Here is a 13,430-nt window from a genome sequence, read left to right on the forward strand (position 1 = left end):
AGTAGAAGGATGTTTATCAGAGGCTGGGAAGGGTAATGGGGGGCTGGAGAGAAGGTGGCAATGGTGAATGTTTAAAAAAAACAGAAAAAATGAATAATACCTACTATTGATAGCACAATAGGGTGACTATAGTCAATAATAACTTAATTGTATATTTTTAAATAAGTTAAAGAATGTAATTGGATTGCTTGTAACACAAAGGATAAATGCTTGAGGGGATGGAAACCCCATTCTCCTCAGTGTGCTTATTTCACATTGCACACCTGTATCAGAATGTCTCGTGTACTCCATAAATATCTATACCTAGCATGTACCCACAGACATTTTTAAAAATAATTTAAAAAATTAAAAAACAAAGGAATAAATGTACCCCCTTGTTTGTTGCAGCACTATTCACAATAGCCATGATATGAAATCAACCTAAGTGTCCATCAAAGGATGAATGAATAATTAAACATTTTATATATATATATTTATATATATATATATATATATATGCACACACACAATGGAATACTATTCAGTCCTAAAAAAGAATGAAATCTTACTATTTGCAGCAACAGGGATGGCTTGGATGACATTATGTTATGCAGAATAAGCCAGGCATGGAAAGACAAATATCACAAGTTCTCACTCATATACGGGAGCTAAAAAAGTCATCTCATGGAGACAGAGAGTAAATGATAGTTACCAGAGGCTGGGAAGGGTGTGCGTGTGGTGGGCGGACAGGATGAAGACAGGTAGGTTAATAGGTACAAACATACAGTTAAACAGAAGGAATAAATTCTAGTGTTCAATAGCACAGTAGGGTGACTATAGTTAAAAAACAATATATTGTATATTTTTAAATAGCTAGAAGAGAAGATTTGAAATGTTATCAACACAAAGAAATGAGAAATATTTGAGGAGAAGGATATCCTAAATACCCTGAGTTGATCATTTACACTCATGCAGCATTCCATGCTTGAGTTAAAATGTCACATGTACCCCATAAATACGTACACATATTATAGATCAGTAAAAATAATAAGAGAATAGTGCATTGGAAGAACAAGCTTCCAGAAAACAACAGGTAAAATTCAAATTGGAAGATCTTCTCTGAAGAAAGATTGTGATAATTTGTAAATGATAACTCTACGTCTACCTACATTAAAAGGGAGAATAGAATTATGAAAATTTAAAAGGAAAATTTCAAGTCTATATCAGAGCTTAATGATTCTTTAAAATATAATTTAATATCTTATTCATTCATCTTAGAAAAGAATGTATAGACTAAGGAATAAATATGTTGAAAACAAGGAAGCCCAAAGACCAATGATGTATCTGAGTCAGGGAGTCCAACTCTTTTAAAATTGTACTACATGGGTGGTTGTATATCAAATTTTTCTTTGCACCATTTTAAAGTTGTCTAATAAAAACTTTGGTCTTAGAGAAGGAATCTACAAGGCAGTTCTTGACATCTTTAAAATTATATAAAGGATGGCCAAATAGAAACAGCTCCGGTCTTCAGCTCCCAGTGTGATCAACGCAGAAGACAGGTAACTTCTGCATTTCCAACTGAGCCTCCGCTGTTGATACCCAGGCAAACAGGGTCTGGAGTGGACCTCCAGCAAACTCCAACAGGCCTGCAGCTGAGGGACCTGACTGTTAGAAGGAAAACTAACAAACAGAAAGGAATAGTATCAACATCAACAAAAAGGATAACCACACCAAAACCTCATCTGTAGGTCACCAACATCGAAGACCAAAGGTAGATAAAACTGCAAAGATGGGGAGAAACCAGAGCAGCAAAGTAGAAAACTCTAAAAACCAGAGTGCCTCTTCTCCTCCAAAGGATCGCACCTCCCCACCAGCAATGGAACAAAGCTGGACAGAGAATGACTTTGATGAGCTGACAGAAGTAGGCTTCAGAAGGTCTGTAATAACAAACTTCTCCGAGCTAAAGGGGCATGTTCTAACCCATGGCAAGAAAGCTTAAAAACCTTGAAAAAAGGTTAGACGAATGGCTAACTAGAATAAACAGGGCAGAGAAGACCTTAAATAACCTGATGGAGCCGAAAACCATGGCATGAGAACTTTGTGATACATGCACAAGCTTCATTAGCCAATTCAATCAAGTGGAAGAAAGGATATCAGTGATTGAAGACTTGGATAAAGACTCAAGACCCGTCAGTGTGCTGTATTCAGGAGACCCATCACCTTCAGAGACACACATAGGCTCAAAATAAAGGGATGGAGGAAGATCTACCAAACAACTGGAATGCAAAAAAGAGCAGGGGTTGTAATCCTAGTCTCTGATAAAACAGACTTTAAACCAACGAAGATCAAAAGAGACAAAGAAGGCCATTACATAATGGTAAAGGGATCAATTCAACAAGAAGAGCTAACTATCCTAAATATATATGCACCCAATACAGGAGCACTCAGATTCAAAAAGCAAGTCCTTAGAGACCTACAAAGAGACTTACACTCCCACACAATATTAATGGGAGACTTTAACACCCCACTGTGAATATTAGACAGATCAATAAGACAGAAAGTTAACAAGGATATCCAGGACTTGAACTCAACTCTGCACCAAGAGGACCTAATAGACATCTGCAGAACTCTCCACAGCAAATCAACAGAATATATATTCTTCTCAGCATTAGATCACACTTATTCTAAAATTGACCACATAATTGGAAGTAAAGCACTCCTCAGCAAATGTAAAAGAACAGAAATCACAACAAACAGTCTCTCAGACCACAGCGCAATCAAATTAGAACTCAGAATTAAGAAACTCACACAAAACCACACAACTACATGGAAACTGAACAACCTGCTCCTGAATGATTACTGGATAAATAACGAAATGAAGGCAGAAATAAAGATGTTCTTTGAAACCAACGAGAACAAAAACACAATATGCCAGAATCTCTGGGACACATTTAAAGCAGTGTGTAGAGGGAAATTTATAGCACTAAATGCCCACAAGAGAAAGCAGGAAAGATCTAAAATCAACACCCTAATATCACAGTTAAAAGAACTAGAGAAGCAAGAGCAAACAAATTCAAAAGCTAGCAGAAGGCAAGAAATAACCAAGATCAGAGCAGAACTGAAGGAGATAGAGACACAAAAAAACCTTCAAAAAATCAATGAATCCAGAAGCTGGTTTTTCAAAAAGATCAACAAAATTGATAGACCGCTACCAAAACTAATAAAGAAGGAGAGAAGAATCAAATAGATGCAATAGAAAATGACAAAGGGAATATCACCACCAATCCCAAAGAAATACAAACTACCATCAGAGAACACTATAAACACCTCTACGCAAATAAACTAGAAAATCGAGAAGAAGTGGATAAATTCCTGGACACATACACCCTCCCAAGACATAAACCAGGAAGAAGTTGAATCTCTGAATAGACCAATAACTGGCTCTGAAATTGAGCCAATAATTAATAGCCTACCAACCAAAAAAAGTCCAGGACCAGATGGATTCAGAGCCGAATTCTACCAGAGGTAAAAAGAGGGGTTGGTACCATTCTTTCCGAAACTAATCTAATCAACAGAAAAAAAAGGAATCCTCCCTAACTCATTTTATGAGGCCAACATCATCCTGATACCAAAGCTTGGCAGAGACAAAACAAAAAAAGGGAATTTTAAACCAATAACCCTAATGAACATCGATGCAAAAATCCTCAATAAAATACTGGCAAACCGAATCCAGCAGCACATCAAAAAGCCTATCCACCACGGTCAAGTTGGCTTCATCCCTGGGATGCCAGGCTGGTTCAACGTGTGCAAATCAACAAACATAATCCATCACATAAACAGAACGAATGACAAAAACCACATGATTATCTCAATAGATGCAGAAAAGGCCTTAGACAAAATTTAACACTGCTTCATGCTAAAAACTCTCAATAAACTAGGTATTGATGGAACGTATCTCAAAATAATAAGAGCTATTTATGACAAACCCACAGCCAATATCATACTGAATGGGCAAAAGCTGGAAGAATTCCCTTTGAAAACTGGCACAAGACAAGAATGCCCTCTCTTACCACTCCTATTCAACATAGTGTTGGAAGTTCTGGCCAGGGCAATCAGGCAAGAGAAAGAAATAAAGGGTATTCAGTTAGGAAAAGAGAAGTCAAATCGTCCCTGTTTGCAGATGACATGATTGTATAGTTAGAAAACCCCATTGTCTCAGCCCAAAATCTCCTTAAACTGATAAGCAACTTCAGCAAAGTCTCAGGATACAAAATCAATGTTCAAAAACCACAAGCATTCCTATACACAAATAACAGACAAACAGAGCCAAATCATGAGTGAACTCCCATTCACATTTGCTACAAAGAGAATAAAATACCTAGGAATCCAACTTACAAGGGATGTGAAGGACTTCTTCAAGGAGAACTACAAACCACTGCTCAACGAAATAAAAGAGGACACAAACAAATGGAAGAACATTCCATGCTCATGGATAGGAAGAATCAATATCGTGAAAATGGCCATACTGCCCAAGGTAATTTATAGATTCAGTGCCTTCCCCATCAAGCTACCAATGACTTTCTTCACCGAATTGGAAAAAACTACTTTAAAGTTCGTATGGAACCAAAAAAAAACAAAAACAAAAAAACAAAAAAAAAATCACATAGCCAAGACAATCCTAAGTAAAAAGAACAAAGCTAGAGGCATCATGCTACCTGACTTCAAACTATACTACAAGGCTATAGTAACCAAAACAGCATGGTACCGGTACCAAAACAGATATAGACAAATGGAACAGAACAGAGCCCTCAGAAATAATGCCACATAGCTACAACTATCTGATCTTTGACAAACCTGACAAAAACAAGAAATGGGGAAAGGATTCCCTATTTAATAAATGGTGCTGGGAAAACTGGCTAGCCATATGTAGAAAGCTGAAACTGGATCCCTTCCTTACACCTTACACAAAAATTAATTCAAGATGAATTAAAGACTTCAATGTTAGACCTAAAAGCATAAAAACCCTAGAAGAAAACCTAGGCAATACCATTCAGGACATAAGCATGGGCAAGGACTTCATGACTAAAACACCAAAAGCAATGGCAACAAAAGCCAAAATTGACAAATGGGATCTAATTAAACTAAAGAGCTTCTGCACAGCAAAAGAAACTATCATCAGAGTCAACAGGCAACCTACAGAATGGGAGAAAATTTTTACAATCTACCCATCTGACAAAGGGCTAATATCCAGAATCTACAAAGAACTTAAACAAATTTACAAGAAAAAAACAAACAACCCCATCAAAAAGTAGGCAAAGGATATGAACAGACACTTCTCAAAAGAAGACATCTATGCATCCAACAGACACATGAGAAAATGCTCATCATCACTGGCCATCCGAGAAATGCAAATCAAAACCACAGTGAGATACCATCTCACGCCAGTTAGAATGGCAATCATTAAAAAGTCAGGAAACAGTGGATGCTGGAGAGGATGTGGAGAAATAGGAACGTTTTTACACTGTTGGTGGGAGTGTAAATTAGTTCAACCATTGTGGAAGACAGTGTGGCAAATCCTCAAGGACCTAGAACTAGAAATACCATTTGACCCAGCAATCCCATTACTGGGTATATACCCAAAGGATTATAAATCATGCTGCTATAAAGATACATGTACACATATGTTTATTGCGGCACTATTCACAATAGCAAAGACTTGGAACCAACCCAGATGTCCATCAGTGATAGACTGGATTAAGAAAATGTGGCACATATACACCATGGAATACTATGCAGCCATAAAAAAGGATGAGTTCATGTCCTTTGCAGGGACATGCATGAAGCTGGAAACCATCATTCTGAGCAAACTGTCACAAGGACAGAAAACCAAACACCCCATGTTCTCACTCATAGGTGGGAAGTGAACAATGAGAACACTTGGACACAGGGCGGGGAACATCACCCACTGGGGCCTGTCGGTTGGTGGGGGACTGGGGGAGGGATAGCATTAGGAGAAATACCTAATGTAAATGACAAGTTGATGGGTGCAGCAAACCAACATGGCACATGTATACCTATGTAACAAACCTGCATGTTGTGCACATGTACCCTAGAACTTAAAGTATAATAATAAAAAAAATTATATAAACCATAAACCCAGACCTCTGGATGAAGTTTATTTGTTCTAATGCTATTGGATTTATCTTACATAAATAAGTCTTTCAGGTAACAATGAGTATTTGAGTCATCTTGGGTACCAATTTTTGAGAGACTGGGTGATTCAACACAAGGGTTTATTTATTTAAATAAATAACTGAATTCTCATTATTTTTTCCTAAACTATTTGACTATGGATAATGTCTTTTTGTAGAATTGTATTGACTAGTGGTTTGATGAAACTAACTTTGGGAAAATTTGGGTAGATATCAGAAAATGAAGTTTCATTTCTTGAGAAAACAGTTTTGATCCCATAGAAAGATATTAAAAATGAATGAGAATATGAGGTATGGTTAGCTCTAAAAAAGTGAGCAATGAGCACTCGGTCATAAATGTACTGACTAAGAAGAAAGAAGGTATGTTAGAGAACCCAGGCAGTTTCTTTTAAGGAAGCCCTGGTTTGGGTATCTTACCAGAACAGATCACTCCAACATCTTCACTGTGACTGCAGTCATTATTTCCCCACCCACTGTTCCTGCATGACCAGAGATCTGACTCATCTCCATCACAGGAAACATCATCGAGCCAAATTTTTCCATATCCTGTAGAAGCGTTTCCCAGACCCATGCCAATGATAGAAGATGGGCAGTCCAGCTGGCTACACACCACAGCTGCAGCTTTACTGTTCCAGCCGTCATCACACACTGTGCCCCACCGTCCTTGAAAGTACACCTCCAGTCTTCCCGAGCAGCGGTTGCTGCCGCCCACCAGCCTCAGGCCCCATGTTGCATCACCTGCACCAAGAACAATGAAGCAAGTAGTTAATGGGTGTGATGGTTTATTTTATATGTCAACTTGGCTGGACTATGATACCCAGTTATTTGGTCAAACACCAGTCTAGATGGTGCTGTGAAGGTATTTTTTCAGATGTGATTAACCTTTAAATTAGCAGACTTTGAGTACAGCCAATTATCCTCCATAACGTGGGTGGGCCTCATCCAATCAGTTGAAGACCTTAAAAGAAAAGACTGAAGTCCCCCAAGAAAGAAGGAATTCTACCTCCGCACTTTCTTGAGATTCAAGACTGCAACATCAGCTCTTCTCTGCAGTCTGCTGGCCTCCTCTTCAGATTTTGGACTTGCAAGCCCCGATAATTGCTTATAAAATTGATGAACCAATTCCTTAAAATAAATCTCTGTCTCTCTCTCTACATACATACATATGCACACACACACAGAGAGAGAGAGAGAGAAGAGAGGCTCACGTTCTATTGGTTTTGTTTTCCTGGAGAACCCTGAATAACGCAGATTTTGGTACTAATAGTGGTTCTAGAGGAACAAAATCTTAAGGATGAGTTTTATGAATTGATGCTGTAATTCATAAATTGATTCTAGAATTGGTTCTCTAATCTGATAAAAATTTAATGACACTAATGATTCTGTATCCAGTAGTAAAGAGGGCACTGATAATCCATGGCATGATGTGGCAATAGATATATACAAAATCTCATCATTACATATTCCTAATCAAATACTTACAGTAGGCAAAGTTCTGAGTGAACATATATTTGATAACCTAGGACATTTTTGTCAAACTTACAAGCATAATTAGATTGGCTGGCTGCTCCCCATTGCACTGGACAAAGTGGGAAAAGAAAAGGATGAGCTTAGAGATTCAAATTCCCAGCTGAACTGCAATATGACCTGCAAGTTTTGATGTCTTCCCGGAAAGAAACTCGTGTCTCTTATAGCCACAGAACTGAGATTACTGAAAACCTTCACCTGGTAAGGTACTGAATTCTCAACCTCACAAGATGTCTGCTGTCTAAGTGAGGGATTTAATTGGGATGGAATAGAATTCTGAAAATTAGGATGGGGCCATAGGGGAAGACCTGATGAGGTTGGGAACATTGAAACCCTAAATTCTACTGTTTCTCCTTTAACAGTAGAGACAACCATCCACCTCTGTGTGAGAATATTAATCCTACTTTGCTTGAAGAAATTGAATCTCTCCTGAGATAACTGCCTTGAAAGGCACTCCTGATTCTCCTCAGCACCCATCCCATCAGCCCTCTTTACATCTAGACTCAAGTCCCAGCAGGCTCCAAAATGTGAGGTACAAAGTGTCTTATGTGGAAGTGCACACAAACAACCATGATTTTTCCAATTTACACAGACAGAAATCAGAATATATGTGGGAATGAATATTAAGGATGTGAGATAATGCTGGAAGGAACATAAAGTTGGGTCAGGGTGAATTTACTGATATGAGCCCTAAGCAGAGATTCTAGATTTAATGATGCAGCTAAGGGTTAGAAAGGCTCTAATAGTTTGTTGGACTGGTTGGGTGAAACATGTATCCAAAGGTGGCCTACACTTAATGAAGTTAAAAGGCCAAACTGCTTCTGTATATGGTAGGGGAAGGGATCCAAAGGATCATAGTCAGGGTTGTCTACTAATTTCTTACTTTACCTGTATAAGTGGAAGAGTTCCAGGTGAAGTGAACTGAAGTCTAATTTAAAGACAAGAGTCATGGCCCCTCAATCAATTCCCACATGTAAGCCAGTTTATAGACCCAGAAGCCCTTCCTATGAGGAATACTATTTCTCTTATCAGGAAATAATAAACAAGAACAAGTCTTACCTGAGCAGGTTACAATCACATCCTCTCTGTGTACACAATTATGCTTTCCCCATCCACTGTGTTCACAGTCCCAGATATTTGACTCATTTCCAATGCAAGAAACGTCATCCAGCCAAATAGGTCCTGATGCTTCTTTAAAATAGGTCATACCAAACACATGCAAAGGCTTTCCACATCCCAATTGTTTACAAACAACAGCTGCATTCCTTGTGCTCCATCTGTCATGACACACAGTCCCCCACTCTCCTTGGTATTTCACCTCCAATCTCCCATAACAGGGGCTATGAGCCCCGACAAGCCTTAGGTCCAGATCTGCCTTATCTGCAAGCAAGACAAAACCACATATTTGAGATCAAATGAGAGAGTCTTTTCAGAAGACTGAAAAGACTCTCTAAATTCACGACTATAAGGCTTTGCCTAACAGGTGATATATTAGGCACACTTTTGAATGAAAAGTTTGGTTTTCTTTCTTTTGACAATTTTTTATTCAATTTTTGGAGAGAAGGTGTCTCTAAAGCATGAAACGACGACAGCAAATTTACTGAAGTAAAGCCTGGGGAATGTTATGAAGCCTCCAAGAATGACGGATTTGGATAAGATGAGCAACGTGGAAGCATGCAGAGAAGTTCTTTGAGGTATGGATACATTCAGGAGATAGCACTGGCAGGTTTCTGCAGTGGAGTCCAGCATTAGCACCAAAGCTTATCCCCTCATAGTCGTCATTTTAGTTTGTCCACTCATGTTTTATAAGATAAAGGGAGGCATATGTATATGAAACTGCCCTTTCATAAAATAAATTCCTTTTTAATTCTTAATTTTTCCACTGTTCAAAGCACTTGAGAAATATTGAGAAAATTTGAGAATTTTATTTCCTTCCTTTCTTCCTTCCTTCCTTCTTTCCTTCCTTCCGCCCTCCCTCTTTTCTTTTCCTTTTCTTCTTTCTCTTTTTTTCTTCCTTTCTCTGTCTTCTCTCATTCTTCTTTCTCTCTCTTCTTTCCTCTCTTTCTTCCTTTTTCTTCTTTCCTTTTCTTTCTCTCCTTTCTTTCTTTTCTTTCTTCTCTCTCTTCTTTCATTCTCTCTTCTTTCATTCTCTCTTCTTTCTCTTTCTTTCTCTGACTTCTTTCTTTTTCTTTCTTTCTTTTCCTTCCTTCCTTCCCCTCCCCCATTCTTCTTCTTCCTCTTCCTCTTCCTCCCTTTCCCTTCTTTCCTTCCTTCCTTCTTCTTCCTCTTCCTCCCTTTCCCTCCCTCCCTCCCTCTCTTTCTTTCTCTTTCTTTCTTTCTTTCTTGCTTTCTTTCTTTCCTTTCTTTCCTTCTCTCTCTCTCTTTCTTTCTTTCTTTTTCTTTCCTTTCTTTCTTTTCTGTCCAGGGTCTTGCTCTGTCACCCAGGCTAGAGTGCTGTGGCACAATCTTGGTTCACTACAACCTCTGCCTTCAGGGTTTAAGTGATCCTCCCACCTCAGCCTCCCGAGTAGCTGGGATTACAGGCTCACACCACCACAGCCAGCTATTTTTTGTATTTTTAGTATAGACAGGGTTTCACCATGTTGCCCAGGCTGGTCTAGAACCCCTGACCTCCTTTCAGCCTCCCAAAGTACCAGGGTTACAGGCGTCAGCCACCGTGCCCAGTCAAGAAATATTTTACTATGTAGGTACTATTATGATATAGGAAAGGTATAATATTTTATAATGGGTCACTTTAAAAATTCTAAAAGTGTTCAATTTCTTTACTTGCTATCCAGTATGACAACTCTTCCATGTGTATATAATAATCTTACATTCTATTCAACCTAGTATGTGTGTGTGTGTATTTTAAAACATAACATTTAATGATTGCATAGGATACCATCATATAGAGATATAGAGATTCTGTAAGTTATTTAATCAAGACACAATTCTTGGTTACCTATGTTATGGTTAATTTTTCATTTTCACAAATTACACTGCTACGGACATCCTTACACATAAAGTTTTGAGTATGTCACCAAGTGCTTCCACAATATAATGGAAACCAATGTATTCAATGTAGGTTAAATGTGTGGGGGTATGAACAGATATATGACGCATGTATATATAATATGTATCATTTCCAGATATACTAAATAAAAATTCATAGAAACAAAGCAAAGAAAAACTTTTAATTCCTGATGCAAACAAATATATAAATGAAGTAGTGTATCCTGTTCTAGTATAGGATAACTGGATAGTATAATGATATAATTTCTGCACAAATCAAACCAATTTATATTTATATTGTATTTTAATAGACTGGGTTTTGCTATGTTGCCCAGGCTGGAGTGGAGTGGCTATTTACAGGTGCAATCATAGCACCTTACAGTCTCTATCTCCTGGGCTCAAGTGATATTCCTGCCTCAGCCTCCTGAGTTGCTGGGACAACAGGCATGTGCCACCATGCCCAACCAATTCATAGGTTTAATATTACCTTAAAAACAATTCCAATGTCAATTCATATTTAGAAGAACAAAAAGGAAAAAGTAGCAAGGAATTTTATGAAAAATAAGAATACTTAGGCAATATATATCTCAGTAGGTATTAGCCTATAGAAAGCTACAGTAGTTAAAATGTGATGGTTCTAGAAATAGAAGAGGGGGATTATGTATTTTATAAAGGGACTCTATAAAATACACAGAGTTCTTACACATTATGAAGACAAAGACATCACACAGCAGAAAAATGGCCAAAGAAGCAGAAATGCTAACACATAAACAAATACAAATAAGTTGCTAATAAAGAATTAGGAAAAAGCTGTCATTTGTTATCAAGGAAGTAAGATTTTTGAACATTGACTTTGGAGTTAAATCAGTTCATATCTGAACTCCAGCTTCACTACTGCTCTGATAGGTGAGTGACCTGGGTGAGTTACTTTCTCTCAGTACCTCTATTTCCTCACTGTAAAATAGAGATAGAATAGTAACCCCCTTCTTGGGATTCCATGAAGATTCCATGAACCCATATACATAAACTAATAGAACACTGCCTGGCACACCATAAATATTCAATAAATGTTAATTAATATTATTATATTTTAAAAATCAGATTCAGTTATTCTAAAATATGAAAATATTCAGTGTTAATATGATATAGTGGAATAATAGGGAACTGAAATTGAATAGAAGAAAAAAACACAATTTATAGATGATAATTTGTTAATATGTATCCAAGACTTTAAAAAAAGATGCATATGGTTTTACATGACAATTTCATTTTTAAGTATTTGGCAAACTATATAATCAAGTGTGAAAAATGTATTTCTCAGTATATCAAATAAAATCATATTTTTAACAGCAAAAATTTGAAAACCTTTTAAAACTTAACATTATGAGGTAGTTAAATAAATTATAGTACATTTATGCAATATAGTAAGTAGCCTTTAACATTAAGATAGATTAGTAATGGCCATGTGGAATATGTCTGTGGTATATTGTTCAGCACAAAGGGTACACACATACACACACACAATCCAGAAACATAAACAACAAAAAAATCACAAAAGATTTGAATGAATGGTAGCGTTGCATGTGGATTTAAAAAATTATTTTTTTTTTGTATTTTGACCTTTTCACTGGGTTTATAATTTGAAAAAGTAGTTTCCAAAAAGCAAAAAGTAATTTTTATAATGTTTTATATCAATCTATAAAAAAGAGAAAAGTAAAATAAAATTAAAGTGTACAAAAGAATTGATAGTTAACTTTGTCTACCAAATTGATCACACTAAATGTGAACAGAATACATAGATAAATAGATTCATAAAACAAATTCCACTCTGCAATTTCTGGATACCATTATATATTATACTAACCTGACATTCTTGAATATAAGATATATGTAAGGTGTACATTCAAGAATGTCAGGTTAGTATAATATTAATAGTGAAAAATTATCCAACAGCCTAAACACCAAGAATAGAGATCAGGCTAAATTTACTGTACACATATGATAGAATAACATAAAGTTTTTTAATTTTAATTTTTAAGTAATTAGTTTAAGGGTGTGGGAAAATGCAAATGTTATAGCAAGTGAGAAACAAGATACAAAATAAGGAGTTGCATTATTTATATTTCTATCTTTCCATCCACATATAAGGTATTTGTGTGTGTGTGTGTGTTTCATTTACAAGAACATCATTCTTCATTTATCCTATATCTATCATCTATCAGGCTTTTAGGATATCAATAAATAACAAGACTATCAGGTATACCTTCATGTAAACAGCATCGTTGGAAATGGTTATGTAGGCTCACAATACTCCCCAGACACCTGTGCACCCTCCCACTTAGGACTCTCTAGATATTCCTTTTTTTCCCTTCATAAAGTGCCACAGAGAATAATGCTGTCTCGATTTTATTTATTTATTTCATTTTTTTTTTTTAACAAGATGAGGTCTCACTCTGTTGCCCAGGCTGGAGTGCAGTGACCCAATCACGGCTCACTGCAGCCTCGAATTTCTGGGATCAAGCAATCCTCCCGCCTTAGTCTACTGAGTAGCTAGGACCACAGGTATGCACCACCACACCCAGCTAATTTTTAAATTTTTTGCAGAGGGAGTCTTGCTATATTACCCAAGTTGATTGTGAATCTTGGCCTCAAGTGATCTTCCTGTGGTAGTCTCCCAAAGTGTTGGGGTTACAGGTGTGA

At 37.0% G+C, this 13,430-nt stretch overlaps 1 protein-coding gene across 11 annotated transcripts in view; it reads right to left on the reverse strand.

The window, feature by feature from the left end:
- The window catches only part of CD163L1 (CD163 molecule like 1), a 125,386-nt gene that overhangs the window by 70,719 nt on the left and 41,237 nt on the right, over positions 1-13,430 (reverse strand). For 10 of the 11 annotated variants that reach the window (XR_931282.3, XR_007063068.1, XR_007063067.1 and 7 more), the window contains 2 exons: positions 8,778-9,098; positions 6,609-6,929 (listed from right to left, as the gene is read on the reverse strand). Coding sequence is in view for 7 of the 11 variants with exons in the window: in XM_011520616.2 (XP_011518918.1) it covers positions 6,609-6,929; positions 8,778-9,098 (642 nt within the window). In the remaining 4 variants the exon portion in view is untranslated. Of the gene's footprint in view, positions 1-6,608; positions 6,930-8,777; positions 9,099-13,430 lie in introns of those variants that run through there. The other variant, XM_011520621.4, reaches the window with a different exon arrangement.

The sequence above is a fragment of the Homo sapiens genome, chromosome 12 (genome assembly GCF_000001405.40).
Source record: "Homo sapiens chromosome 12, GRCh38.p14 Primary Assembly".
NCBI lineage: Eukaryota > Metazoa > Chordata > Mammalia > Primates > Hominidae > Homo > Homo sapiens.